Source organism: Homo sapiens, chromosome 19 (assembly GCF_000001405.40).
Source record: "Homo sapiens chromosome 19, GRCh38.p14 Primary Assembly".
Classification (NCBI taxonomy): Eukaryota; Metazoa; Chordata; class Mammalia; order Primates; family Hominidae; genus Homo; species Homo sapiens.
The window spans coordinates 16073168-16100765 of NC_000019.10; the positions used below are offsets into that span (position 1 = coordinate 16073168).

A 27598-nucleotide genomic window follows, 5' to 3' on the forward strand; every position below is an offset into this window, starting at 1 on the left:
ATCCTATCTCAAAAAAACAAAAACAAAAACAAAACAAAACACCCAAACCATCTTCATACCCTGATGAGTCCATGCTGTCAGATTTGCTCTCACTCTTCCTACATGTTAGGAGAGTCCTGTGTTGGGCACACAGTTGGCACCCAATAAATGCTGTGATCCACAGATCTGGAAGGAAGTCAGGTGGATGCTGTAGGTCAGGGTTGACCTATGAAACGTCTTTAAGGAAACTGGCTCATTTTCTCAGTCAAGGCAGAAGTTCAAAAGCAGCTGCCGGAATGCTCAGAGACCAGCATGTCAAGGTTTCTGTTCTGCAGATGGAGAATCTGAGGCCAGAAAAGGGGACGGGGGTCGCAGAGCTTGGATTTGGAGTCAGGCTTCCAGGCTCCCCACCCGGAGGTCAAGGTCAGGCCCTATAGACTCTGACCCTGCCCTGATCAGCTGGCCACCCTGGATTGGGCCCTGTCATCTCCCCATAGCTTGGGATGCTCCTGAGGACTTCAGACAGGATAGCCCTCCCTGCTCTCTGTCACATCTCAGCTAGAGACCCTTGCAGGTCACCTCAGTGACATCAGCTGAACCTCCAGCTGCCAGCCTCCACCCCATCCTCCAGCTGACACCCAGCAGGCCGCAAGATGGGAAGCCTGGAGTTCACACTTTCCAGCTACTCAGGAGGCTGAGGCGGGAGGATCGCTTGAGCCGAGGAGGTCAAGGCTGCAGTAAGCTATGATCACACCACTGCACTCCAGCCTGGGAGACACAGGAAGACCATGTAAAAAAAAAAAAAAAAAAAAAACGCAAAAAAAAAAAATAATGCACACACACACACAGCAAGATCAGGTTAAAAAAAAAAAAGGCAAAAAAAAAACATACACACACACACACATATGGGGCACCTGGTACATTTTGCACATCCACTCAGGGGTGAGCACGTAGCCCAGACAGGATTCAGAGCTCAGTCTAGAAGCCACGGGCACAGCAGCTTTTTTAACATACCCTCTTCAAGAAAAAAAAGAAGAGAAGCAAGTCAGAGAGGGAGGAAGGGAAGCTGGCCTAGTGTGAGGAACAGGGCCAAGGGCTTTGTCTTTGTCAGCTCAGGCAGTTATAACAAAACACCATAGACTGGGTAGCTTCAGTAATAGACATTTATTGTTTACAGTCTGGAGGCTAGATGTCCAAGATCAAGATGCTGGCAGATTAAATGTCTGGTGAGCGCTCTCTAGCTAGCTTGCAGACAGCCACCTTCTTGCTGTGTCCTCACATTGGAAGAGGATAACCAAGTTCTGGCCTCTTCTCATAAGGGCCTTAATCCCATCATGGTGGGTCAACCCTCATGACCTCACCCAAACCTCATCATCTTCCAAAGGCCCCATCACCAATTACCATCACATGGAGATGAGGGCTTCAACACATGAATTGGAGAGGGGGCAAAAGCAAGCATTCAGTTCATTATAGGCTTATATTCCAGAAGACCTGGGCTCAAACCCTGTGCTGTGTGACCTGGGGAAAGTCATCCCACCTCTCTGAGCCTCCTGCTGTGGGGAGGAAGCAGGAGAATGAAGCTGGGCTCAGTGGGGGCTGTCTGCCCACCCTGGGAGCAGGAACAAGATCAGTGTCAAACCATCTAAGGCAAAAGTCAGATCCAAGCCAGGTGTGGCGACTCACGCCTGCAATCCCAGCAATTTGGGAGGCCGAGGCGGGCAGATCACTTGAGGTCAGGAGTTTGAGACCTGCCTGGCCAATATTGCAAAACCCTGTCTCTACTGAAAATACAAAAATTAGTCAGTCGTGGTGGTGTGCACCTGTAGTACCAGCTACCGGGGAGGTTGAGGCAGGAGAATCACTTGAACCCAGGAGGCGGAGGTTGCAGTGAGCTGAGATCGTGCCACTGCACTCCAGCCTTGGTGACAGAGCGAGACTCTCAAAAAAAAAAGTCAGATCCAGGCATGAGCTGGATATGATCACCCTAATCCAGAGTTGGGGGCCCAGGGAGGGAGTTTCAGCCTGGAGGTGACAGAAAAGTCTTCTTGAGCCAACTCTAGACCGGTGTGGTGGGGGGTGACAAAGAGAGGTGATGGGGTCTGTGGTTTGTAATCCATAGGCCTGAGCTTCTCAAACTAGGAGTGATGGGAGGATAGGACTCTTGGGATAAACAGAGGACTGAAAATTTAGGGAAAGTAGGGGACATTTTTATTAAAATGAACATGGCCTATATGCAAAAATTTTAAAGATTTAACCCGAGCCTTCAAAGAAAGTGATCCTGTAGGGGCGAGTCTCTTCTAGCCAAGCTCCCCAAAGCCCAGAAATGAGGGACTAGGTCTGAGCCCTTCAGCCCTTCAGAGTATTTTGGTAAGACAGTCTAAGAACCACTGCCTTGGGCCATAGGGAGCCATAGCAGGTTCTAGGCAGAAAGAGGGCAGGCGTATTTGTTAGAAAGTTTCTCTGACCCCGTGTTGGGGTCAGAACCAGAGGGAGAAAGGCTGGGGACAGGGATGGGCGGAGGGATCCACGCGCAGAGAATGAGATTGCTTAACTCCAGATCATGGTGAGGCTGCACCTCTGAAACTGGAATGTGTGTATTTCTGGAAAACATTTGGAGTCTTCAGTTTCCCAAAAGCTGCCATTGATCTCCCTAGAGTACTGGGGACCCCAATAAGCCCAAAACAGCTGGTCCTCAGGACGAGGGAAAGATGTGAAAATCCCACTATCAGGTAGCATGGATGGCGTGGTGCATGCTATCGCAACCCCTGTTCTACAGATAAGGAAACTGATGCCCAGAGAGAGACGGAGGACTCTTGTGAATATTGGGGGGGACCGCCCCTGCACCTCGGGGACGTGACCCCCCCCCCAGGCTGACCCGTTCCTCGCTCTGTCGTCCCCAGGTGGAGGAGGAGCTGACGCACCTCCAGAAGAAACTAAAAGGGACAGAGGACGAGCTGGATAAATATTCCGAGGACCTGAAGGACGCGCAGGAGAAGCTGGAGCTCACGGAGAAGAAGGCCTCCGACGTACGTGTGCAGGGATGCGGGAGCCCGCGGCGGGGCCAGGCCGGAGCCCCGGGGCCGGGAAGGCGGGGAGAGCCGCAGGGGGAGGAGGAAGAGGAGGAGGAGAAGGCGGCGCCTCCCAGCGCTTTCTCCAAATAAGTCCCGAAAAGGGGCACTTTCCAGCAGCTGTGGCCAGCGGTGCCGACGTCAGGCCCTCCCCCAGCGGTGCTGACGTCGGCGGTCCGGCCGGGTGACCTCATCGCCCCGACGGCAGCCGGCCCGGGGGGCGGGGAGAGGCGGGGGCGGCCCCCGCGCAGGCAAAGGCTTGGGGGGCCGGGGCGCGGCTGTGCAGCTCTCGCCGGAGCCGAGCCCAGCCGAGCGTCCGCCGCTGCCCGTGCGCCTCTGCGCCTCCGCGCCATGGCCGGCCTCAACTCCCTGGAGGCGGTGAAACGCAAGATCCAGGCCCTGCAGCAGCAGGCGGACGAGGCGGAAGACCGCGCGCAGGGCCTGCAGCGGGAGCTGGACGGCGAGCGCGAGCGGCGCGAGAAAGTGAGCGCCCCGGCCTCGGGCCCCGCACCCGCAGCCTCCTCCCCCGCGCGCCCTCCTTTCTTCCCGGCTTCCCGCGCTGCCCGCCCGCGCGCAGTCCTCGGGCCGCCTTTTTACGCCCTCGGACGCCGATCGCCGACCCACATCCCTGCGCCCGCAGCCAGGACCCCCTACTTCCTCCGCCGTCCTCCTTCCTGGGCCTGGGACAGGGGAGGGGGCGCCGCCTCCGGGTCGGGCGGGGCCGGCCAAGCGGGAAATGGGGGGATGGGGCGGAGGGGGTGAGCGATCTCCGGGTGGAGAAGTGGAGCGGCGGGAGGGGGCGTATCGTGCAGGCTCCGACTCCGGGGCTGGCGCCGGGGTCCCGGGCCGAGGGGAACCCGCGACCGGACTTGTGGGGGAGAATGAGGATGAAAACGTGGAGCTTCCATTGTCTAGGGTTTGACCGGCCGACAGGGATTTCGACGGGGGACCGGGGATCTGGGGAGGGGGTCGCACTTTCTCGCCTCTTTCGCGGCTTCCCGGCTTCTGCTTGCTTCCCTGACCGTTCCCAGGGGCGCGGCGGCGACGTGTCTGCTCCAGGCGGCGGGGGGGATGGGGGGTGGAGGAAGTTCAGCCCCAAGCCGCCCGCCTTTCTCCAGCTGATTCCTGCGGGAACCGGGGCGGCGGGACCCTGCCTCTCTCCAGAAGGCCCCGGGAACGCTGGCGCGGGGCCCTGAACCCACGATCGTTTGAGCGCCTGCTGTGCGCCTCCGCCGCGAGTCGCAGGGCCCGAGATAAACAATGGGTCTGAAAAAGGAGGGAGTTTCACCATCCTCTCTGCATCATCCTCCTGGCTGTCCCTCGGGACAGATGGTGGCACCGCCAGGGTCTGGGGACAGATTTGGATTCTGGTCCCATATCATGCCACCCACAGGCTTCATGACTTGGTATTTGCTCTCTAGGAGCTTTTTTCCCATCTGCGAGTAGGACTGATAAGAATCCCGACCCCCCAGAGTAGCAGGGAGGGTCCCAGGAGTAAATCTCAGGCGTGGAGCCTGGCGCTTTGTAAATAATCAATTGTGTTGTTGTTTTTTGTTGTTTTGTTTTTGAGGCAGTCTCACTCTGTCGCCCAGGCTGGAGTGCAGTGGTGCGATCTCGGCTCGCTGCAACCTCCACCCCCCGAGTTCAAGAGATTCTCCTGCTTCAGCCTCCCGAGTAGCTGGGATTACAGGTGCCCGCCACCACGCCCAGCTAATTTTTTTTTTTTTATTTTGGATTTTTAGTAGAGACAGTGTCTCACCATGCTGGCCAGGCTGGTCTCGAACTCCTGACCTCGTGATCTGCCCACCTTGGCCTCCCAAAGTTCTGGGATTACAAGCGTGAGCCACGGCGCCCAGCCTCAATTGTGTTTTCTCTGCCCTGGGAAGAGCTCATAGACAAATGGAGGCAGGGGAGCTGACTCACTGATGGAGCGAGGTCTGCATTCCACGGGTTTTCTGTGCAGTTATGGGAGCATGACAGGGGAGGCTCCAAAATGGAGGTTGAGCTGGGTCTTATAGAATAAATAAGTTTGCTGGGACCAGAGACATGGGTGTGCACAGACTCAGAGGCAAGAAAGTTGTATGATGAGGGTGGGGGGGTGTGCGGATAGAGGTTGAAGCCCAAAAGCCCTGAAAGTTCAGTGTTGAGGCTCAGGGTGGGGACCCTAGAGAGGCAAAAGATGCCCAGCCAGATGGAATTGGTGGTGTGAATTGCCAGGACTGGAAAGAGCCCAGATGGGGGCTGCAGCATGGGCCTTGGTTGAAGCCTCTAATCCTGTAAGGGCTGCTTTGGCCCAAGAGGCCTTAGAAACCCGGTGTAAGCCTCAATCGGTAGCCGGTCTGGCCTCTTTCTCACACTTAACCGACACAGCTCTTGCTCTGATCTCATCCCAAGTCATCTCGCTGGAGGACAATTAACTCGGCTTCAAAATGGCCCTCAGCCTGGAGCCAAGATTTAGGAGCAAGACCGTCTAGTTGGGAGAGAAGATGTTTTTGGAGAGTTGAAGACTTCTTGAAAAAGTTCGAAAAGTTCTTGAAAAAGCAAAGGATGCTTCTTTCCGTCTGGGAGAGGGAAAACCTCTCCCAGGGCAAAAGGAACTAAGACCAGGGGTGGGTTAAAAAAAAAAAAAAAAAAACCTTTCACTCTTGTAGAATAAGCCAGGAGCCGGCGTGTGGTAGACTTCTGGGCCTGTTTCCCGACAGCTGGTTTCGTTTAGATTTTTGTGTGATTAACTGACATCTTCCTGTTCCTTTGCCACATGTATCTAGCAAGCCTCTTTTACCTTATAAGGGAAATCCTTTGTAGCGTGTGGAAGGCTTTGATTGCAGGAAGGGGTGGAACCCAAAATGACTCGGCCGTGACTAGCAGTTTTTCAAAAATACATATATATGTATGCATGTACAGATATGCGTGTATCTCCCAACTCCAGACAGCTGAAAATCTGCCAAAAGCGTTGTTTGCCAGGATTCAGAATTTCCCACATAAGGGCTACTCACTTCTTAAAAGACAACTCATGAATCAAGCACCTCTGTTTGATCTTTAAAATCAATTCCTCGACTGCTAATGGGTACACAGTTTTTTGTTTGTTTGTTTGTCTTTGGCGGGTTATGAAAATGTCCTGGAATTCGATAATGGTGTTGGTTGCAGAGTGTTTTTGCAACATCAGTTCCTGGCCCAGTTACTGAAGGTGGTAGGAGGAGTTAAGATCTAGGCAATTAAAAAGAATGAAAGGCACCCATTCATGGGAAGGCCTCAGTGACGTTTCTTAAGACAGTTTCATCAGTGGTTTTCACAATTCTCTGCATTTGGTGTTTCAGAGGACACTGCAATACGAAACACCTGTGGGAGTGCCCTCTTTCTGCTTCTAGGAATCTGAGGCTGAGAAACCTTCCTGACTCTATTTGTGTAGTTTTTCGGCCACGTTAGCCTCATTCTATTTTTTTTTCCCCCAGTATGAACTCAGGGCAGGAGAGGGAGTGGTTTCCTAATAATTTTTTTTTTTTGAGACGGAATCTTGCTCTGTTACCCAGGCTGGAGTGCAGTGGCGCGATCTCGGCTCATTGCAACCTTCACCTCCCGGGTTCAAGCGATTCTCCTGCCTCAGCCTCCCAAGTAGCTGGGATTACAGGCGCCTGCCCCCACACCCAACTGATTTTTTTGTATTTTTAGTAGAGATGCGGTTTCACCATGTTGGCCAGGCTGGTCTCGAACTCCTGACCTCATGTGATCCACCCACCTCCGCCTCCCAAAGTGTTAGGATTACGGATGTGAGCCACCGCGCCCGGCCTTCCTAATAATTTTGATAGCCTTCCCCAGTTCAGGGATTCTTCATTTGTTCTGATAGGAAAAAGCTAGCGTGGCTTCCCTTTTCCTCTCGGTTGAGGCCCGTTTGACCCGTTCTCAATATTCCTTCCAAAGAGCAGGCATCGCTGGAAAACTCGCCTTGCCTCGTAGCCCTGGCAGGACCTAGGGGACAGGTTCTGACAAGGAAGAGCCCTGGGTGGGTCTTAAGAGGCCATTCATTTCTTACCAATTCTGAGTCACTGAATAAAACCACTTCCCCCAGTGGGGCCCCTCGGTTTCTTCACCTGTAAAATGGGTGCGATGTGTGAGGATGAAATTGCAGTAAAATAAAACCGTGGCAGTAAGAGATGCCTTTCTCTGGCACATCCCACCTGCTGGGCATAAGCGGCGCCACCCTCTGGAGTTACAGCCTCAAGGCAGTCCGGTAACTAATCAGGCTTTGGGATGGAGAGGGCCAGGATGAGGAAGCAACCTTCCCAACACCACGTGGCTGTGAAAATGACAAAGCACGGTCGGGCGCAGTGGCTCACGCCTGTAATCCCAGTACTTTGGGAGACCAAGGCGGGTGGATCACGTGAGGCCAGGAGTTTGAGACCAGCCTGACCAACAAGACGAAACCCTGTCTCTACTAAAAATACAAAAAAATAGCAAGGCGTGGTGGTGTCCGTCTGTAATCCCAGCTACTCAGGAGGCTGAGGCAGAATTGCTTGAACCCGGGAGGTAGAAGTTGCAGCAAGCCGAGATCATGCCATTGCACTCCAGCCTTGGTGACGGCGCAAGACTCCATCTCAAAAAAAAAATTAAAAAGAAAATGACAAAGCGGGGATTCCAGCCCAGCACTTTTTGGCCCTGGAGTTCCTGGTTTAATGCTTCCCATTGTACTTCCTTTCTTGTAGGTAAAAACACCTTGAAAAGCCAATAACACTATTGGGGTATGTCTTCCATGCCTGCAACCAAGTTTTCTTTCCCTTTCCATATCTTTTTGTCCTGCCATCTCTCAGCCAGGCGGATTGAAGGATGGAATTCCAACGAGGCTCCCCCGCCTCGTCCCACCTTGGTAATTGCATGGCCAACATTTAACTGAGGGCTCCATAGTCTTGCATTTATCTTGCCATTCAGGTGAATGGGAGCGGAACTCACAGGACACAATGAGCCGGGTCACTGATGGCCTTGCTTTCTAAGAATCTCACAGTGAGCCCTAGAACTCTCTACGTGGTAACACTGTGTGCCTTTTTCAGAGAAGAGCCTATCTTAGATCTTAGCCTAACGTTGGGTCTATTGTGTTGCTGGAGAGACCAGCACTGACATTCATCTCAAAGCACATGGTATGTTTGACTCCTATGTTGACTCAACTACCCATCTTGTACTGGGACACTCGCTTTTTTTTTTTTTTTTTGAGACGGAGTCTTGCTCTGTCACCAGGCTGGAGTGCAGTGGCACGATCTCAGCTCACGGCAACCTCCGCCTCCCGGGTTCAAGTGATTCTTCTGCCTCAGCCTCCTGAGCATGTGGAACTACAGGCACGTGCCACCACACTCAGCTAATTTTTCTATTTTTAGTAGAGACAGGGTTTCACCACGTTGGCCAGGATGGTCTCGATCTCTTGACCTTGTGATACACCCACCTCAGCCTCCCAAAGTGCTGGGATTACAGGCATGAGCCACCACGCTTGGCGATGCTCATCTTTTGCTATGGAGTGGTAGATGTTTTTCCCAGACATTTTCCGGGAAGATCATACTGAAATTTTGGTATGAGTGTAAATTCCCTATGGCCTGGACTCCTGGGTGGGCTTTGACGGGGAAGATCAGGTTAACAGAGGGCAGGACATGGGGGAGGCTCCCACTGGTGGCTGGCCTGATACTTCTTAACATGGCTGCACCTCCGACCTCCCCAGGCTGAAGGTGATGTGGCCGCCCTCAACCGACGCATCCAGCTCGTTGAGGAGGAGTTGGACAGGGCTCAGGAACGACTGGCCACGGCCCTGCAGAAGCTGGAGGAGGCAGAAAAAGCTGCAGATGAGAGTGAGAGGTAAGGACGCTTTGAATCTGGTGGCATCCGTGTTTGCTTTTAGAAAATGGGGATCATGCTGCCGACCTCGCAGAGCTGGTGTGAAAGTAAACAAGGTCACAAGGACATGCATGTGTCCACAAAAAAGTGCATGACAGCACTTTGTAAACCATCACTCCATGGGTAGAGATGTTTATCCGTGGCCAGGCACGGTGGCTCATGCCTGTAATCCCAGCACTTTGGGAGGCCAAGGCGGACGGATCACCTGAGGTTGGGAGTTTGAGACCAGCCTGGCCAACATGGTGAAACCCCGTCTTTCCTAAAAGTACAAAAAAATTAGCCTGCCATGGTGGCGGGCACCTGTAATCCCAGCTACTCAGGAGGCTGAGGCAAGAGAATCTCTTGAACCCAGGAGGCAGAGGCTGCAGTGAGCCGAGATCGTGCCATTGCACTCCAGCCTGGGCAACAAGAGCAAAACTCCATCTCAAAATAAAGTGAGGGGTGTTTATCCTTACGGTAACCATGAAAAGAAACTTCCGACAGACAGAAAGGCAAACAGAACGGGCAGATGTGAGACTGCAAGTATGACTGTCCATGGTGGTCAGTTTGCAAAGCACTGCTTCTCGTATTTTCTCTGAAAGCCACAGTGCCTCTTAGTGTTCTCTAGACACCAAATTTCAGGTAGGCCGGATGCAGTGATTCCTGCCTGTGCTCCCAGCACTTTGGGAGGCAGAGGCGGGCAAATCGCCTGAGCTCAGGAGTTCAAGACCAACTGGGGCAATGTGGTGAGACCCTGTCTCTACAAAAAATACAAAAATTAGCCGGGTGTGGTGGTGCACGCCTGTACTCCTGGCTACTCAAGAGGCTGAGGTGGGAGGATCACTTGACCCCAAGAGTTTGAAGCTGCAGTGAGGCAAGATTGTGCCACTGCACTCCAGCCTCAGTGACAGATGAGATTCTGTCTCAAAAAAAAAAAAAAAAAAAAAAAAGCAGAGTACTGTGGAGAGGAGGAAAGGAAACTTGGGATGCACAGGTGATTGTTAGCAGAGCTGTCAGGCTTTAGGCTTTTGGACGGTGACAGCTATTTCAGGGACAGTTGCAAACCAGCATGGTTAATGTACTTGCAACTGACCATGCACCAGGTGCCGTGGCTCACGCCTATAATCCCAGCACTTTGCGATGACGAGGCGGGTGGATCAACTGAGGTCAGGTGTTTGAGACCAGACTGGCCAACATGGTGAAACCCCGTCTCTATTAAAAATACACAAATTAGCTGGGCGTGGTGGCGGGCACCTGTAATCCCACCTACTCAGGAGGCTAAGGCAAGATCCCCCAGCTTGAACCCAGGAGGCAGAGGGTGCAGTGAGCCAAGATCGCACCACTGCACTCCAGCCTGGGCAACAGAGTGAGACTCTGTCTCAAAAAGAAACTGACCACGTTCCTCACCCGCCCATGGTATCTGTGCTGCAACCCAGCCACCAGTAGGGTGCCTTCTCCTCGGTAGCCAGATCATTCTCTGGCACGCCTTGGCACAGGCTCTCTGGAAGACTGAGGGTAGATTGTGTAATTCACAGAAGCAGCAGTCTGTGTGTGGTGGAAAAGGAGTTCCTTGTGTGGCAATGGTGTGGGCCCGACCAGTGATCATCGCGTCTGCCCCTCATTCACACCGGAGTTCTCACTTGAGCCAGCCACCATGCTTTTGCAGTATAAACACCTCCCAAAGATTCATTTCTTTTTTTTTTTTTTTTTTTGAGACAGGGTCTTACTCTATCACCCAGGCTGGAATGTAGTGGTGCGATCACAGCTCACTGCAGCCTCGACCTCCTGGGCTCAAGCGATCCTCCCGCCACGGCCTCCAGAGTTCCAGAGTAAAGCTGGGACTACAGGCGCATGCCATCATGCCCAGCTAATTTTTTTTTGAGACAGAGTCTCGCTCTGTCGCCCAGGCTGGAGTGCACTGGCGTGATCTCAGCTCACTACAAGCTTCACCTCCTGGGTTCACGACATTCTCCTGCCTCAGCCTCCCAAGTAGCTGGGACTACAGGCACCCGCCACCACACCCGGCTAATTTTTTTGTATTTTTAGTAGAGACAGGGTTTCACCGTGTTAGCCACGATGTTCTCAAGCTCCTGACCTTGTAATCCACCTGCCTTGGCCTCCCAAAGTGCTGGCACGCCTAGCTAATTTAAGATGCATTTCTGGTTGTGCTGCTGTGACCACTAACCAGAGATTAGAAACCAGCTAAGGAATCTTGGAGATTGCATGTCACCCAAGCTGGAAATTTCTTCCCAAGTAGTGGAACAGCCAGGGCAGAGGGAACAGACGCTACTGCAGACTCTGCTTCAGCCACTGAATCAAGGGAGAGAGTGGCAGCTCCGGCAGCCACGGGGCAGTGGAAGGACCCAGTCACGAGAGTTCCTGGCTGTGCCTGTGGCCTGGGTTAGCTGCTGTTCACAGTCAGACCAGCCTGGCTGGATGCTGACGTTGAGGGCTCCCATATTGGCAAACCAAGGGAGGCTGCGAAGGCCAGTCTCTTGTTTGCACCATGTCCCCAGAGGCCTTTGGTGACACCCCTGTTAAAGACTGCTGTGTCTCAGTAGAAAGAATTATATACTTGAAGCTTGGGGATCTAGAGTCAGCTTCTACCACTGGCACTTTCTATGGAGCCTTAGGCAAGTCACTTTGATCTCTTGGGTACTACAAGGGGTTTTGGGGCAATAAATAACCCAGAGAGCTTGCTCACATGCTGAGGGTGAGACCTCGTACAGGTGGGGGAGGGTGTTTTGAGACTTAGCTGAGAACGGGTGACACCCCACGTGAACATATTTATTGGACAGCAAGAAGCATATGGTCTCTGTGCTGGGTGGGAATGATACATATCAATGACACATTATCCCAGGCTGGCCTCTTCTTTTCTTTTCTTTTCTTGTTTTAAATACACAAGGTCTTGGCAGGGTGCGGTGGCTCACACCTGTAATCCCAGCCCTTTGGGAGGCGGGCGGATCGCTTGAGCCCAGGAGTTTGAGACCAGCCTGCGCAACATAGTGAGACCCCATCTCTACAAAAAAATATTAAAAATTAGCCAGGCATGGTAGTGCATGCTGGTAGTCCCAGCCACTCAAGGGACTGAGGTGGGAGAATCACCTGATCCCAGGAAGGCAAGGTTGCAGTGAGCTATGATTACACCACTACACTCCAGCCTGGGCAACAGAGTGAGAACCTGTCTCAAGAAAAAAAATAAATAAATACACAACGTCTTGCTCTGTCACCCAGGCTGGAGAGCAGTGGTGCAATCACGACTCACCGCAGCCTTGAACTCCTGGGCTCAAGCGATCCTCCTACCTCAGCAACATTGCAAAACCCCCACCTCCACAAAAAATTTTTTTTTAGTTTAGCTGGGTGCAGTGGTGCACACCTATAGTCCCAGCTACTCAGGAGGCCGAGGCAACAGGATTGCTTGAGCCTGAGAGGACAAGGCTGCCGTGAGCTCTCAGGGCACCACTGCACTCCAACCTGGGCAACAGAGTGAGACACCATCTCTCAAAATAAAAGAAAAAGAAAGGGGGCACAGACTCTGGAGTCAGACTGCCAAGGGCTGAGCCTCAGCTCTACCACTTACCAGCTCTGTAACCTTAAGTTACTTACCCTCTCTCTATGCCTTAGTTTCTTCATTTGTAAAATGTGGATAATTTACCTGCTCCATAGGGCAGTTGTGAAAGTGAAGGCACTTAGAAAAGTGCCTGGTAGTAAAGATGAAGGGAGGCTGGGCGCGGTGGCTCACACCTGTAATCCCAGCACTCTGGGAGGTCAAGGCGGGCAGATCACTTGAGGTCAGGAGTTCCAGACCAGCCTGGCCAACATGGCGAAACCCCCTCTCTACTAAAAATATAAAAGTTAGCCGGTCACGGTGGTGCATGCCTATAGTCCCGGCTATGCTGGAGGCTGAGACAGGAGAATTGCTTGAACCCAGGAGATGGAGGCTGCAGTGAGCTGAGATCACACTACTGCACTCCAGCCTGGGTGACAGAGCGAGACTCCATCTCAAAAAAAAAAAAAAAAACCAAGATGAAGGAAATGTGTGCACAGAGTTCCATCTTTGCAGTGTGTTACAGTGCTCAGTAGATTCAGAGACTCATTTAGATGAGAGATGGGACTAGGGGTGGTGTCTCACGCAATTAGCCAGACATGGTGACGGGTGCCTGTAATTCCAGCTACTCAGGAGGCTGAGGCAGGAGAATCGCTTGAACCCGGGAGGTGGAGGTTGCAGTGAGCTGAGATCGTGCCACTGCACTCCAGCCTGGATGACAGAGCGAGACTCCATCTGAAAGAAAAGATAGATGAGAGGTGGGTGGAGGGGTGTGAGTGAACGGCCGTCCTGATGAGATTGCTCCTTGCAGAGGAATGAAGGTGATAGAAAACCGGGCCATGAAGGATGAGGAGAAGATGGAGATTCAGGAGATGCAGCTCAAAGAGGCCAAGCACATTGCGGAAGAGGCTGACCGCAAATACGAGGAGGTGAGTGGGGCTGGCAGATGGCGCAGCAGCAGGAAGTGGGAGGAAATGCATCTGCTGAGATAGGGAGGACACCGGGGCCAACGAAAGGAAGCTCTCGGTTAGGTCAGCTGTCCTCCTGCGTGAACATATGTTTGTCCAGAGACAACCACTTGGCTAGGAAACTATCTCCCACGATGCCAGAAAGTGCTGCGGACGCTTGTCTAACGTAATGGGAAAACCGAATGATCAGCTCACTTGTGTCGTTAGCTGGGAGTTTTGGCACAGTTGGGCAAAAATGGAGGATTGTGGTCCCAAGCCATGGAGTTTCAGACCATGCAAGCTCAGGCCCTCCTTTGCCTCCCTCGATGGCTCGGCTCTTCCCTCCCGCCTCTTGTCTGCCTCGCTCCTCAGGCTTGAGGAAGAGAATCAGGATTTCCTCCAGGCCCCAGGATGGCTCTTTCAGTTGAAGCGCCAGCAAAAGGCCAGGCGCGGTGGCTCGTACCTGTAACCCCAGCACTTCGACCGAGGCGGGAGGATCACCTGAGGCCAGGAGTTTGAGACCAGCCTGGGCAACATAGTGAGACCCCATTTCTAAAAATAATAATAATAATAATTAGCTGGGTGTGGTGGCATGCACCTGTAGTCCCAGCTACTTGGGAGGCTGAGGCAGGAGGATCGCTTGAACCTGGGAAGTCAAGGCTGCAGTGAGCTCTGACCACGCCACTGCACTCCAGCCTTGGAGACAGAGCAAGACCCTCTGTCAAAAACATAAAAGGGCTGGGCATGGTGGCTCACGCCGGTAATCCCAGCACTTTGGGAGGCCAAGGCAGGCAGATCACCTGAGGTCAGGAGTTCATGACCAGCCTGGCCAACGTGGTGAAACCCTGTCTCTACAAAAAATACAAAAATTAGCCGGGCATGGTCGTGCATGCCTGTAAGCCCAGCTATTTGGAAGGCTGAGACAGGAGATTCACTTGAACCCAGGAGGCAGAGGTTGCAGTGAGTCAAGGTTGAGCCACTGCATTTCAGCCTGGGTGATGGAGCGAGACTCTGTCTCAAAAGAATAAAAAAATAAAAAAGAGGCCAGGTGTGGTGGCTCATGCCTATAATCCCAGCACTCTGGGAGGCCGAGGTAGGTGGATCAGGAGGTCAGGAATTCGAGACCAGCCTGGCCACTACGGTGAAACCCCATCTCGACTGAAAATACAAAAATTAGCTGGGCGTGGTGGCACGCGCCTGTAGTCCCAGCTACTTGGAAGGCTGAGGCAGGAGAATCGCTTGAACCCAGGAGGTGGAGGTTGCAGTGAGCCGAGACTGTGCCACTGCACTCCAGCCTGGGCAACAGAGGGAGACTCCGTCCCCCTGCAAAAAAAAGAAACACCAGAAAAACCCATGTTGCAGCTGGTCTAGGGGTCTGGGTGGGGCATCATTGGGGGCTGTCTGCAGTGGATGGGAGAGGACACGGCTGGTGGGGATCGGGCTCAGCTGGGCCTTTCTGTCTCTGCAGGTAGCTCGTAAGCTGGTCATCCTGGAGGGTGAGCTGGAGAGGGCAGAGGAGCGTGCGGAGGTGTCTGAACTGTGAGTGGCAGAACAGGACTGAGCGAGGCTGGCTCGATTCCTGGGGCGGAGTGGGAAGGAGCTGGCTGTGTTGGGAATTGGCTCTGACCGGGGTCTCTGCTCAAGTGGACGGGCGTCAGGGGCTCATGGCTCATCTTTTCTCTTGGCTTCTGTGACAAAGAGGTGGTGACTTGTTCTTACTGCCATGGGAAGCACTGCCCACGTGTTGACCCTTTCTGCAAAGATATGAGGAAATAGGAGTGAGACAGGAGGCAGCAGGGAAGCCCAGAAGTCCCATTTTCCCAGAGAGGATATCTCAGGGGGCTGTGCCATCTTAACAGAACACTGACCTGCTCCAGAAGGCAGGCTCCCCCGGTCAGTATGTAAATGCTTTTGCTCCTGTCAGTGTTTGGCCGTGACACATTCCTGGCGGGAAGGTGAGAAGCTTAACCAGAATCCCACAAGCAAGCACCGAAAAACAAAACACCTGTCCTCTTGGCCCCGGGTGAGGAATTCAGCCCCACAGAGCATCCGGGAGTGCTGAGAGAGATCTGGTTTCACAAATCCACTCCGGGCTTCCTTCCCGGAGTGTCCCCTGCAAACTCCCATTGCTCTCTGCCCGCCTTCTGCCCTCAGTCCCATTCTTACACCTTCCGGAGTCGGCCTCATCAATCATAGATTTCACAAGTCCTTGCAGCCTTACCCTTGGCAAAAGACCAGGAGTGTTTTCCAAGCCCTCCAAATACTCTTCGGGCGCACCTCGCCTCTGCCTGGTATGATAAGCCTTTGATAAGCCCATAGTATCACACTGCAGAAAAATCCATTAACATTTTCTCCCCACATTCCTTCTGCCCCCCACCGGGGGAGCTGTGTAGGTTTCTCCTTTGGAAAATTTATTGTTGGGGCGATTGCTATTATTGCCGGCTGTAAGGGAAGATAAGACACAAAAATCCTTTGTCTTTGTGCAGAAAATGTGGTGACCTGGAAGAAGAACTCAAGAATGTTACTAACAATCTGAAATCTCTGGAGGCTGCATCTGAAAAGGTAGGTGGTTGGCTTGAGCTGGAGGGTGGCTTGCTGGACTTTGTTCTTTTCTTCTCCCGAGGGATGCAGGAGCCTGTCAGGTTATGGGGAATCTGCCCTTTATTTAACAGTAGCGTTGGTGCCTGGCAGCCAGGGTTTTTCCCCTACAGAAAGAGCTGGATTTCTCCTGCACACTCTTGAGTCCTCTTCCATGGGGTCTGAGCACCATCTTTGATCTCCATCTCAGGAGGATAGAGATAGAACATGAGGCTCTTCTTAGCGAGATCTGAGCATAGTTGTATAAATAAATACAGAGCCTGCCTCTCACCTGATTCCCCTGGTTCCTCCAGAAATACCATCTCAAAGGTATAGCAATGATCAGAGGTGGAATTGGGCTTTTTAGTTTGAAACAGCACCCAAAGCAGTTGCTACGTGGCAGCTACGTCGGGAACAAAGGACACACTTCCACGGCCGAACCCCACTGAATTTCCCAGCCTCTTCCTCATTCTTGCTCCTGCTTTTGCAGTTTCACAGACATTCTTTGTTCTCCCATCACCTCCACCCCCCACTTTTTTTTTTTTTTTTTTGAGACAGAGCTTCGCTCTGTTGCCCAGGCTGGAATTCAGTGGCATGATCATAGTTCATTGCAGCCTTGAACTCCCAGGCTCAAGCGATCCTCCCACCTCAGCCACCACCTGCTATTCACTCAACTGGGTGTGGCTTTCCTTTTGCTTGATAAACCCCTATTCAGCCTTTTTTTTTCTTTTCTTTTTTTTTGAGACAGGGTCTCACTCTGTCACCCAGGCTGGAGTGAAGTGGCGTGATCTCAGCTTACTGCAGCCTTCGACTCCCAAGTTCAAGCAATTCTCCCACCTCAGCCTCCCGATTACACGCTAATTTTTATAATTTTTGGTAGAGATGAGGTTTCACCACATTGGCCAGGCTGGTCTCGAACTCCTGATCTCAAGTGATCTGCCCGCCTCGCCCTCCCAAAGTGCTGGGATTACAGGCATGACCCACTGCACCTGGCCTAGAGATGAGATCTTGCTCTGTTGCTTAGGCTGGAAGTGTAGTGGCGTGATCATAGCTCACTGCAGGCCCCAAACTCCTGGGCTTAAATAATCCTATCACCTCAGCTTCCTGAGTAGCTAGGACTTGCAGGCATGTGCCACTACTCCAAAACTGTATTTTTTTTTTTTTTTTTATAGAGCACAGTCTATGTTGCCTAGGCTGGTCTTAAACTCCTGGCCTCAAGTGATCCTCCCACCTTAGCCTCCCAAAGTGCTGGGATTACAGGCGTGGGCCACCGTGCCTGGCTAATTTTTCTAGTTTTTGGTAGAGACAAGGTTTCATCATGTTGGCCAGGCTGGTCTTGAACTCCTGGCCTCAAGTGATCCTCCCACCTTGGCCTCCCAAAGTGCTGGGATTACTTTGGGAGGCCGCCGAGCCTGGCCTCCTGTTCATCCTTTGAGCTTCTGCTTAAACATCACTTCTGAGAGTCCTTCTCTGATTTCTCATCTAGGTTAGGTATTTCTCTGCTGTGTAGCCCTGTCTATACTTTTGCTGGCATTATGATTTCTTACATTTATTATAGTTACTCCATTAATTGCATGCCTTCCTTGCTAGATTGTAAGTTGTAAGGACAGGAACCATGTCATCTTGTTCAGAGTTGTGTCCCTAGTACTAGCATTGTGCCTGGCATATATCTGTAGTGTGTGTGTGTAATTTTTTTTTTTTTTTTTTTTTTAGTAGAGATGGTGTTTCACCATGTTGCCCAGGCTGATCTCAAACTCCTGGCCTCGAGTGATCCACCTGCCTCTGTCTCCCATATGTGCCAGCCCTGGCATATATCTGATACTAGGATGTGTAAGGAATGAATCCAGTTGGTGTGTGTATGCCAGACACTGCCCCGGGCCAGGGGGATAGATGTAACACCACTAATACCTCAGCTGCTTTGTTTTGTTTTGTTTTGAGATGGAGCCTTGCTCTGTCGCCCAGGCTGGAGTGCAGAGGCACGATCTCAGCTCACTGCAACCTCCACCTCCTAGGCTCAAGCAATTCTCCTGCCTCAGCCTCCTGAGTAACTGGGAATACAGGCGCACACACCACGCCCAGCTAATTTTTGTATTTTTAGTAGAGACGGAGTTTCACCATGTTGGCCAGGCTCGTCTCAAACTCCTGACCTCAAGTGATCCACCCACCTCGGCCTCCCAAAGGGCTGGGATTACAGGTGTGAGCCACTGTGCCCAGCCTGGCATCTGCTCTTGAAGAGCTCAGAGTCGAGTCTAGTGGAAGGGATTGACAAAGTCACAGAGTGCTTTGGGAATACAATAGAGGGACCTTGGTAGGTTGTGAACGGTGTCACCAAGGAGGCGACATTTAAAACAGCTGTAGGTCCAGCACGGTGGCTCATGCCTGTAATTCCAGCACTTTAGGAAGCCGAGGCGGGAGGATCGCTTGAGCTCAGAAGTTCGAGACCAGCCTGGGCAACATGGAGAGATCCCGTCTCTACCAAAAATACAAAAACTAGCTGGGCATGGTGGTGCATGCTTGTGATCCTAGCTACTTGGGAGGCTGAGGTGAGAGGATCACTTGAGCCTGGAGGGCGGAGGTTGCATTGAGCCAAGATTGCCCCACTGCACTCCAGAGTCAGGCTTCAGTCATGACTTGATCACTTAATAGCCATGTGACCCTAGGCAAAATAATAACTTCACCTTTCTGTGACCCTTTCCTCCCCTATAAAATGGGATTACAGATACCAGGCTGTGATGCCATTAACTATGTCTGGCCCATGGTAAGCAGCTAATAAGTGTTAGTTATTATTGGGAGGCCGAGGCAGGCGGATCACCTGAGGTCAGGAGTTCGAGAGCAGCCTGGCTGGCCATCGTAGCGAAACCCCATCTCTGCTAAAAATAACAAAAATTAGCTGGGCATGGTGGTGGGCGCCTGTAGGCCCAGCTACTTGGGAGGCTGAGTCAGGGGAATTGCTTCAGCCTGGGAGGCAGAAGTTGCAAGTCACAGTGAGCCGAGATCGTACCACTGCACTCCAGCCTGGGTGACAGAGCAAGATTCTGTCTGAAAAAAAAAAAAAAGAAAAGAAAAGTATAATTTCTGATGGGTCATCATGGGGAGGGGAACATTCCATGCTAAGGGGTGCATTCATGGACAGGGACTGGGACTCAGGAGTCCACAGATTATGATCAGGGAGTGCCTGTCACCCTGGGGAAGGTGGTGGAGAATGGGGTTGGAAATACAGAGGGGGCCTTGAGTAACAGATTCCCAGTTATCTCCCTTTCTTCGCCATACTTTTTATCTCAAGTTCTCAGTTTAGGCCTTCTGATCAATACCATCCTACAGGACTCTCCCCAACATCCTCCACATTTCACACATATTTCTTCTGCTGGGGAAAGGTGCCTGCCTCTACTCTGCCTACTTTTTTTTTTTTTTCTTTTTGAGATGGAGTCTCACTCCATCGCCCCAGGCTGGAGTGCGGTGGCGCCATCTGGCCTCACTACAGCCTCCACCTCCTGGGTTTAAGCAATTCTCATGCCTTAGCCTCCTGAGTAGCTGAGATTACAGGCACCCACCACCACACCTGGCTAATTTTTGTATTTTTAGTAAAGACAGCGTTTCGCCATGTTGGCCAGGCTGGTCTCGAACTCCTGACCTCAAGCGATCCACCCGCCTTGGCCTCCCAGAGTACTGGGATTACAGGCGTGAGCCACCGTGCCTGGCCTGCTTACTTCTTTTTATGCTTCTTCCTCCTTTTTTTTGAGATGGGGTCCTGCCCTGTTGCCCAGGCTAGAGTGTAGTGGTCCAATCAGAGCTCTCTGCAGCCTTGAATTCCAGGGTTCAAGCCATCTTCCCTCCTCAGCGTCCCCATTAGCTGGGACTACAGGTGCTCACCACCATGACTGGCTAATTTTTAAATTCTTTGTAGAGACGGGGTCTCACTATGTGACCCAGGTTGGTCTCAAATTCCTGGGCTCAAGTAATTCTCCCACCATGGTCCCCCAAAACACTGGAATCACAGGTGAGAGCCACCACACCCAGCCCTCCTTTTCTTTCTTTCTGTTTTTTTTTTGTTTTTGTTGTTGTTGTTGTTTGTTTTTTTGAGATGGAGTCTTACTCTGTCACCCAGGCTGGAGTGCAGTGGCGTGATCTCGGCTCACTGCAACCTCCACCTCCCAGGTTCGAGTGAGTCTTCTGCCTCATCCTCCCCAGTAGCTGGGACTACAGCTGCATGCCACCAAGCCTGGCTAATTTTTGTATTTTTAGTAGAGACGGGGTTTCACCATGTTGGCCAGGCTGGTCTCGAACTCCTGACCTTGTGATCCACCAGCCTCAGGCTCCCAAAGTGCCAGGATTCCAGGCATGAGCCACCATGCCTGGCTGGGCCTCCTTTTCTTAAAGCAGTGTTTTGGTTTCTCCCACAGTATTCTGAAAAGGAGGACAAATATGAAGAAGAAATTAAACTTCTGTCTGACAAACTGAAAGAGGTGAGTGTGGTGGCACCCAGCGAGCTCTGGTTTCTCCTGGGGCTGGTCTTGAAGCCATGATAGTAACTCCTTTCTTCTTATCTAGGCTGAGACCCGTGCTGAATTTGCAGAGAGAACGGTTGCAAAACTGGAAAAGACAATTGATGACCTGGAAGGTATGAGGTTACCATCTAAATGTTTGCCTTGCCCTGCCTTCCCCTCTGGGACACATCCACGGACAGTTGGGGAATGTTTGTGGAGGGGCTGGGTTGGGCTTTGTTTGCCTTAGGAAAGTAAAGCGCATAGTGATGTCATATCTGGATGTCCTGGAACACTGGAATAGGATAATGCAAAGCATTCAGGCTTGAATGGCCCTTTTTTTTTTTTTTTTTTTTTTCTATGAGACGGAGTCTGGCTCTGTCTCCCAGGCTGGATGGAGTGCAGTGGCGCCATCTCGGCTCACTGCAACCTGCGCCTCCCGGGTTCAAGTGATTCTCCTGCCTCAGCCTCCCAGGTAGCTGGGACTACAGGCGTGTGCCGCCACACCTGGCTAATTGAATTGCCACTTTCAGGAGGTAAAATATCTCTGCTTAGTTAGTCCCATGAGCAAGTATAGAGAAAAGAGTATGGCTCTCTCTGATTAAAAAAATATTAATAATAAATTAAAAATCTCAGGCCAGGCGCAGTGGCTCAAGCCTGTAATCCTAGCACTTTGGGAGGCCGAGGCGGGCGGATCACTTGAAATCAGGAGTTTGAGACTAACCTGGCCAACATGGTGAAACCCCGTCTCTACCAAAAATAGAAAAAATTAGCCAGGCGTGGTGGTGCACGCCTGTAATCCTAGCTACTGGGGAGGCTGAGGCAGGGAGAATCCCTTGAACCTGGGAGGCGGAGGTTGCAGTAAGCCAAGATCACGCCACAGCTCTCCAGCCTGGGTGACAGAGCCAGACTCCGTCTCAAAAAAAAAAAAACTTCACAATTTCCTTCTGTTTGCTCATTTCTGATAGATGCCTTGCATTTTTTTTTTACATGCCTTGCATTTTTGCAGAAGCTCTGTCCCAGGGAGCTCAAAGCTTATCATAGTATTTAAAAAAAAAAACAGAAATACAGAAAGTGTAGGGACTGCAATAAAGACTAGTCTGCAAGTCTGGGGCCCACTTCTCCCAGAATTTTTTCAAGAGTTCCAGTGTTTAACATTCGGCCTCAGAAATTCCAGAATCTTGGGGTTCAAATGGAATCTTCCAAACTGCCCATCCCACCCAGAAAGGACACATTCTTCAGACCATATCTTCCAATGTTTTTTTGGGGAAGTGAGGTTCCCATATAAGGGAAAATGCCCCATTCCAAAATACGACCTTTGGACAGGGTGACGTCATTGGAAATCCGAAATAAACTGAGGGGTGGGGACCAGTGGGGGGAAGCTCTGTCACTTCTGGTTACCACTGTTTTGAAGCTTCATTGTGGCTAATCCCCCTGCAGAACCTCAAACCACTTAGAGATCAACTCCATAGATCTTTGGTTTTCTTCATCTGTTTCACATGGAACACAGCTTTCTCCTAGTCTGTGCTTTGTTTGCTCACGTGTTTTTTTCTTCCTCTTGTGGTTCATCTGTGGCACTCCATTCCGACCCTTGCCTTCTGTCCCCTGTACTTCTGAACTGTCTCCCTGGGGACCTCCGCCCTCTAGATGAGTTATACGCTCAGAAGCTCAAGTACAAAGCTATCAGCGAGGAACTGGACCACGCTCTCAACGACATGACCTCTCTCTGAGAGGCAGCCAGGTCGCTGCCCTCTGTCCTTCTCACATGGTGCCTCCTACGCCCCTGTGGGCTTCTAGGAGCTCCGGTGGCCTGCCTTCTGGTTTGAACGTCAGAGCCTTCTTCTGATGTGTCTGTGACTCTACAACCGAAATAAAGACGGGCAGTCCTCCTCTTCATGCCCCCTCATTCTCATTTTCTCCACTTGCTGCCTTTGAGCTGTAGCTGTGTGCCCTTAACCATAGCCTGAAACACAAAGTGGGTGGTTAGCCTCTCTCACTCACAAATGAAAAGCTTATTACAAAAAGAAAATTATGCCTACAGGATGCTTTTCTGAAGACGTGAAAACAAAAGCAAACTGGGCATGTGCTCTCAGATACCGCTGTTAGCTAACGGCATCTGCATGCCAATAATTTTTTTTTGTTTTTTTGTTTTGAGACAGGGTCTTGCTTTGTCACCCAGGCTGGAGTGCAGTGACACCATCATAGTTCACTGCAACCTCCACCTACAAGGCTCAAGCTATCCTCCCACCTCGACCTCCCAAGTAGCTGGAACTACAGGTGTGCACCACCACACAAGGCTAATTTTTGTACTTTTTTTTTTTTTTTTTGAGGCGGAGTCTCACTATGTCGCCCAGGCTGGAGTGCAGTGGTGCAATCTCGGCTCACTGCAACCTCCGCCTCCCGGGTTCAAGCAATTCTCCTGCCTCAGCCTCCCAAGTAGCTGAGATTACAGGCATACACCACCACACCTGGCTAATTTTTCTTTTGGATTTTTAGTAGAGACAGGGTTTCACCATGTTGGTCAGGCTGGTCTCAAACTCCTGACCTTGTGATCCGCCTGCCTTGGCCTCCCAAAGTGCAGGGATTACAGGCTTGAGCCATCACGCCTGGCCATTTTTGTACTTTTTGTAGAAGCGGGAGGGTTTCACTATGTTGCCCAGGCTGGTCTTGAACTGCTGGGCTCAGGCAGTCTGCCCACCTCACCCTCCCAGGGTGCTGCAATTACAGGCATGAGCCACCGCGCCCATCCCCAATGGTTTTTCCTTAAATAGAAATTGTTGTGAATGGAGGCTCATCCTTGTAAACCGCTTAGGCAGCTTAAGAGTCAACAGGGATTTGGAAAAACCAGCAAGCCTGTGTCAAAAATGAGGCTCCCCTTGAATGGGGCTTGAGCTACAGATTCAAACAGCGGCAGTGACATTTTGATCTCCATTTCCTCCTTTTCTTGTGTCTTTTCTCTGTGTTACACTGTGAGTGTGGTGACTGGGGCTTCCCGTGGCTTTACTCTTCACTGTTCATCCAGCTCCCAGTCCTGGGAGGAAGTTCACCTCCACGCCCTGCCCTTAGAAAACTGACTGTACAAGGAGTGAACGGGCCTCCATGAACAGGGAAAGTGCTGTGACGTCAGAAGACGTGAATTTAGAATTCTTTTCCCGAATTCCAGAATTGCCTGAGACTGCTAACATCAATCTCCATTCATATTTCAGTTAGTTATAACAGGAACCTTGCTTTAGTTTAGAATAGCTCTTAAGGTTGACCTGTGGGTAATAAAAGGTCATGCTTTTTCCTACATGAGGAATATGGAGAAAACAAGGTCACTCTTTTTTTTTTTTTTTTTTTTTTTTTTTTTTTTTTCAAGACAGGGTCTCACTCTGTTGCCCGGGCTGGAGTGCAGTGGCGCCATCTTGGCTCACTGCAACCTCCGCCTCCTGGGTTCAAGTGATTCTCATGCCTCAGCCTCCCGAGTAGCTGGGATTACAGTCGCGGACCACCACACTCAGCTAATTTTTGTACTTTCAGTAGAGATGGGGTTTCACCATGTTAGCTAGGCTGGTCTGAAACTCCTGGCCTCAACTGATCCGCCCACCTCAGCTTCCAAAAATGCTGGGATTACAGGCGTGAGCCACTTTGCCCGGCCCAGGCTATGCTTTGCTTTTTTTTTTCTTCTTTCTTTTTGAGACGGAGTTTCGCTCTTGTTGCCCACGCTGGAGTGCAGTGGCGCCATCTCTGCTCACTGCAACCTCTGCCTCACGGGTTCAAGCAATTCTCCTGCCTCAGCCTCCCAAGTAGCTGGGACTACAGGCATGCGCCACCATGCCTGGCTAATTTTGTATTTTTAGTAGAGACAGGGTTTCACCATGTTGGCCAGGCTGGTTTTGAACCCCTGACCTCAGGTGATCCACCCGCCTCGGCCTCCCAAAGTGCTGGGATTACAGGTGTGAGCCACTGCACCTGGCCCAAGCTATGCTTTTCTAATGATCAAAAACATACCAATTTGTCCCAAAATTTCAAATAGTGCATCTGGTTCTCCCCTGCATCCTACCACCACTACCACCTCAAATTATCACAGATAATTGACATTTAGATGTTCAAGCCACATCTTCCAGACTACCCCTTGAACCTGGAAATGGCATGAAAATCTCCAACTAGATCCTGAATTTTCGGTATCCATTGTTATTCCTCATCCTATTTTTTTGTCCAGGTGGGAAGCTCTGTCCCCATTACTCTCTCTATTCATCCATTCCTCCAAAATGCACCTCCCCTAAACCACCTCCACCTTTCCACCCTCAGCCTCTCCCTGCTCCTAACTGCCGTCCATCCTGAACTTCTGCAAAAACCATTCCCCTCACACATTGCCATATATATGCCCTTGGAAAGATTACAGACTGTGTAGGGGGCTGGTTTTTGTTTGGAGTCTGTGTGTTTGTCCCTGGAATTTCTCCAGGCATTTCTGGACTCCACCCTTTGAAGTAACTATGCAGCCTGTCTATCCAGTTATTCTACCTAACTAAGCACATAAGTGGAATTTCAGAGATTAGTGCTATGGCCGGGCACGGTGGCTCACGCCTGTAATCCCAACACTTTGGGAGGCCAAGGCAGGCAGGTCACTTGAGGTCAGAAGTTCAGGACCAACCTGGTCAACATGGTGAAACTCTGTCTCTACTAAAAATGCAAAAATTAGCCGGGCATGGTCATGGGGGCCTGTAATCCCAGCTACTGGGGAGGCTGAGGTGGGAAAATCAATCACTTGAACCTGGGAGGCGGAGCTTGCTGTGAGCCAAGGTCGAACCTTTGTACTCCAGCCTGGGCGACAGAGTGAGACTCCGCCTCAAAAAAAAAGAAAAGAAAAGAAAAGAGATTAGCACTATGGAGGTCTACACTATCTGTTGATAGTCTGTGAGCCTTGTCGTGATTCTCAAGGGCAGTTAACACTTTCAGGGAAAGTCATTTTATCTCAGACCTAATAACAAAATAGATGCTAAAGCATCTGAGTGACAAGATGAAGCGAAGTCAGGATTTGTAGTCAAGAGACCAGGGTTTAAGGCCTGGCGCAGTGGCTCACACTTGTAATCCCAGCACTTTGGGAGGCCAAGGCAGGCGGATCACTTGAGCTCAGGAGTTTGAGACCAATCTGGGCAATATGGCAAGACCCCATCTCTAAAATTATTCATAATAATATTTTATTTTTAAAAAATTTTTTAATAAAATAATAAATAAAGAGACCAGGATTTAAAATCCTAGCTCTACTACTTTAACCATGCCAACGTGAACAAGCTGCTTAGGTTTTCTGCAAAATAAAGGTGATATCTCTGTTATGAGGATTAAATGAGATAATGGAGAAACTGGCTCGTCCAACATAGTCAGCATTCAGTTAACATCTATTCACCCAGACTGGATAGGCCCAGGTCACTGATCTGTCTGATAGAATCCTCCCAGGTCATAGTCACTTGACTCTGTGTGTGTGTGTGTGTGTGTGTGTGTGTGATGGAGTCCCACTCTGTCACCCAGGCTGGAGGGCAGTGACGCAATCTCGGCTCACTGCAGTGTCCGCCTCCCGGGTTCAAGTGATTCTCCTGCCTCAGCCTCCTGTGTAGCTGGGATTACAGGTGTGCGCCACCACACCCGGCTAATTTTTTGTATTTTTAAGTAGAGATGGGGTTTCGCCATGTTGGCCAGGCTGGTCTCGAACTCCTTACATCAAGGATCCATGGTGTCTCATGCCAGTAATCCCAGCACTTTGGGAGGCCGAGGTGGGTGGATTGCATGAGACCAGCTTGGGCAACATGGCGAAACCCCATCTCTACTAAAAATACAAGAATTGGCTGGGTGTAGTGGCACGCACTTGTAGTCCCAGCTACTTGGGAGGCTGAGGTAGAAGGATCACTTGAGCCCAGGAGGTCAAGGCTGCAGTGAGCTATGATCATGCCACTGCACTCCAGCCTGGGCAACAGAGCAAGACCCTGTTTAAAAATAAATAAATAAGAAAGGCTGCCATCTTCTGCAGTCATTTTTTTCTTTCTGTAAATTTCCAGGCTGATGATATCACATTTTATGAGGCATTTTGCTTTCCCCCAGCATTTTAATGAGTCTTGGCCTTGTCCCTTATCAGCCATCACTTACTGCAAACTAAGTTCTCTCTCGTGCTCTGTCACGCATAGCTCTAAATGGCGTCTTTTTTCTCTCTCTCTTTCTTTTTTAATTTAAATTGTTTCATCAGCTCAGTTACTTAATAACATGCCTGTAGAATGGCTTAAATTTCGCATTTACCTGGGGTTTGTCTCCGTTCTCCTGGATTCATAGACAGTTACACAATTATGTGTATAATTTAAACAGCCATTCCCAGAAGCTCCGAAGGAAAGATGGGTTACAGGATTTTAGATTTAACTATCAAAGGCTCAGGGGCTAATTAACTAGCACTTGGGTGGAAATTTATATTAAGTCACACATATCTAGGACTGAAATCTTCATGTAGCAGCACGTCATAGGTTCTGAAGTATTTCTCCTTTATTCCTCATCATAACCCCCACACCACGCATTGATATCGTTACCCCCATTTGACAGACGGGGAAAACAGACCTAGGAAGGTTAGATGCTTACTTAAGTGATACAACTGGAGCTTAAGTTCAGGTATTCTGACTCAAGGGTTACCAGAGTTCACAAGGAAAAATACAGGACACCAACTTAAATCTGAGTTTCAGATAAGCAATGAATAATTTTTTAATCATAAGTATATCTCTTGCATAAGTACATCTCATGCAACATTTGGGATATACTTACACTAAAATATTATTTGTGGTTTATCTGAAATTCAATTTAACTGGGCGCCCTGCATTTTATCTTACAACTGTGACTCCCAAATTTGGTGCTTGTTCCTTAGTATTCTGTGATGTTCTGCTGTAATTAAAAATACAAAGTACTGGACAGGCATGGTGGCTATAACCCACCTGTATTCCCAGCACTTTGGGAGGCTGAGCAGATGGGTTCCTTGAGCCCAGGAGCTCAAGACCAGCCTGGGTAACATGGTGAGACCCTGTCTCTAGAAAAAATGCAAAAATTGGCCAGGTGGTGGCATGCACCTGCAGTCCCAGCTATGCGGGAGGCTGAGGTGGGAGGATCACCTGAGCCCAGGGAGGTCAAGGCTACGGTGAT

At 50.7% G+C, this 27598-nt stretch overlaps 1 protein-coding gene across 5 annotated transcripts in view, besides 13 other annotated features; it reads left to right on the top strand.

Moving 5' to 3' along the window:
- Window positions 1–27598, top strand: part of TPM4 (tropomyosin 4) — a 35465-nt gene that overhangs the window by 5630 nt on the left and 2237 nt on the right. For 2 of the 5 annotated variants that reach the window (NM_001367836.1, NM_001145160.2), the window contains exons 2-8: window positions 2880–3005; window positions 8746–8879; window positions 13256–13373; window positions 14860–14930; window positions 15878–15953; window positions 20369–20431; window positions 20517–20586. In NM_001367836.1, coding sequence (NP_001354765.1) covers window positions 2880–3005; window positions 8746–8879; window positions 13256–13373; window positions 14860–14930; window positions 15878–15953; window positions 20369–20431; window positions 20517–20586 — 658 coding nt within the window. Of the gene's footprint in view, window positions 1–2879; window positions 3006–3327; window positions 3531–3848; window positions 3964–7747; window positions 7909–8745; window positions 8880–13255; window positions 13374–14859; window positions 14931–15877; window positions 15954–20368; window positions 20432–20516; window positions 20587–22096; window positions 23578–27598 lie in introns of those variants that run through there. The other 3 variants (NM_001367837.2, NM_001367838.1, NM_003290.3) reach the window with 3 other exon arrangements.
- Window positions 2212–2941: an enhancer, noted in NCBI's record as "H3K27ac hESC enhancer chr19:16186189-16186918 (GRCh37/hg19 assembly coordinates)". NCBI's record gives its function as "activates a minimal SCP1, AML or CMV promoter by ChIP-STARR-seq in primed H9 embryonic stem cells {active_cell/tissue: H9 hESC(primed)}" and the evidence as "EXISTENCE:reporter gene assay evidence [ECO:0000049][PMID:30033119]".
- Window positions 2942–3669: an enhancer, noted in NCBI's record as "NANOG-H3K27ac-H3K4me1 hESC enhancer chr19:16186919-16187646 (GRCh37/hg19 assembly coordinates)". NCBI's record gives its function as "activates a minimal SCP1, AML or CMV promoter by ChIP-STARR-seq in primed H9 embryonic stem cells {active_cell/tissue: H9 hESC(primed)}" and the evidence as "EXISTENCE:reporter gene assay evidence [ECO:0000049][PMID:30033119]".
- Window positions 2942–4399: a biological region, named in NCBI's record as "NANOG-H3K27ac-H3K4me1 hESC enhancers GRCh37_chr19:16186919-16187646 and GRCh37_chr19:16187647-16188376".
- Window positions 2978–3887: a silencer, noted in NCBI's record as "silent region_10289". NCBI's record gives its function as "represses an Ori minimal core promoter by ATAC-STARR-seq in GM12878 lymphoblastoid cells {active_cell/tissue: GM12878}" and the evidence as "EXISTENCE:reporter gene assay evidence [ECO:0000049][PMID:35858748]".
- Window positions 3670–4399: an enhancer, noted in NCBI's record as "NANOG-H3K27ac-H3K4me1 hESC enhancer chr19:16187647-16188376 (GRCh37/hg19 assembly coordinates)". NCBI's record gives its function as "activates a minimal SCP1, AML or CMV promoter by ChIP-STARR-seq in primed H9 embryonic stem cells {active_cell/tissue: H9 hESC(primed)}" and the evidence as "EXISTENCE:reporter gene assay evidence [ECO:0000049][PMID:30033119]".
- Window positions 5318–5537: an enhancer, noted in NCBI's record as "active region_14198". NCBI's record gives its function as "activates an Ori minimal core promoter by ATAC-STARR-seq in GM12878 lymphoblastoid cells {active_cell/tissue: GM12878}" and the evidence as "EXISTENCE:reporter gene assay evidence [ECO:0000049][PMID:35858748]".
- Window positions 5648–5697: an enhancer, noted in NCBI's record as "active region_14199". NCBI's record gives its function as "activates an Ori minimal core promoter by ATAC-STARR-seq in GM12878 lymphoblastoid cells {active_cell/tissue: GM12878}" and the evidence as "EXISTENCE:reporter gene assay evidence [ECO:0000049][PMID:35858748]".
- Window positions 5888–5957: an enhancer, noted in NCBI's record as "active region_14200". NCBI's record gives its function as "activates an Ori minimal core promoter by ATAC-STARR-seq in GM12878 lymphoblastoid cells {active_cell/tissue: GM12878}" and the evidence as "EXISTENCE:reporter gene assay evidence [ECO:0000049][PMID:35858748]".
- Window positions 5988–6217: an enhancer, noted in NCBI's record as "active region_14201". NCBI's record gives its function as "activates an Ori minimal core promoter by ATAC-STARR-seq in GM12878 lymphoblastoid cells {active_cell/tissue: GM12878}" and the evidence as "EXISTENCE:reporter gene assay evidence [ECO:0000049][PMID:35858748]".
- Window positions 7314–8041: an enhancer, noted in NCBI's record as "H3K27ac hESC enhancer chr19:16191291-16192018 (GRCh37/hg19 assembly coordinates)". NCBI's record gives its function as "activates a minimal SCP1, AML or CMV promoter by ChIP-STARR-seq in naive H9 embryonic stem cells {active_cell/tissue: H9 hESC(naive)}" and the evidence as "EXISTENCE:reporter gene assay evidence [ECO:0000049][PMID:30033119]".
- Window positions 13321–13370: an enhancer, noted in NCBI's record as "active region_14202". NCBI's record gives its function as "activates an Ori minimal core promoter by ATAC-STARR-seq in GM12878 lymphoblastoid cells {active_cell/tissue: GM12878}" and the evidence as "EXISTENCE:reporter gene assay evidence [ECO:0000049][PMID:35858748]".
- Window positions 20812–21685: an enhancer, noted in NCBI's record as "H3K27ac hESC enhancer chr19:16204789-16205662 (GRCh37/hg19 assembly coordinates)". NCBI's record gives its function as "activates a minimal SCP1, AML or CMV promoter by ChIP-STARR-seq in naive H9 embryonic stem cells {active_cell/tissue: H9 hESC(naive)}" and the evidence as "EXISTENCE:reporter gene assay evidence [ECO:0000049][PMID:30033119]".
- Window positions 24020–24217: a silencer, noted in NCBI's record as "fragment chr19:16207997-16208194 (GRCh37/hg19 assembly coordinates)". NCBI's record gives its function as "represses an EF-1alpha promoter that drives an FKBP-Casp9 reporter gene in an ReSE screen in K562 erythroleukemia cells {active_cell/tissue: K562}" and the evidence as "EXISTENCE:reporter gene assay evidence [ECO:0000049][PMID:32094911]".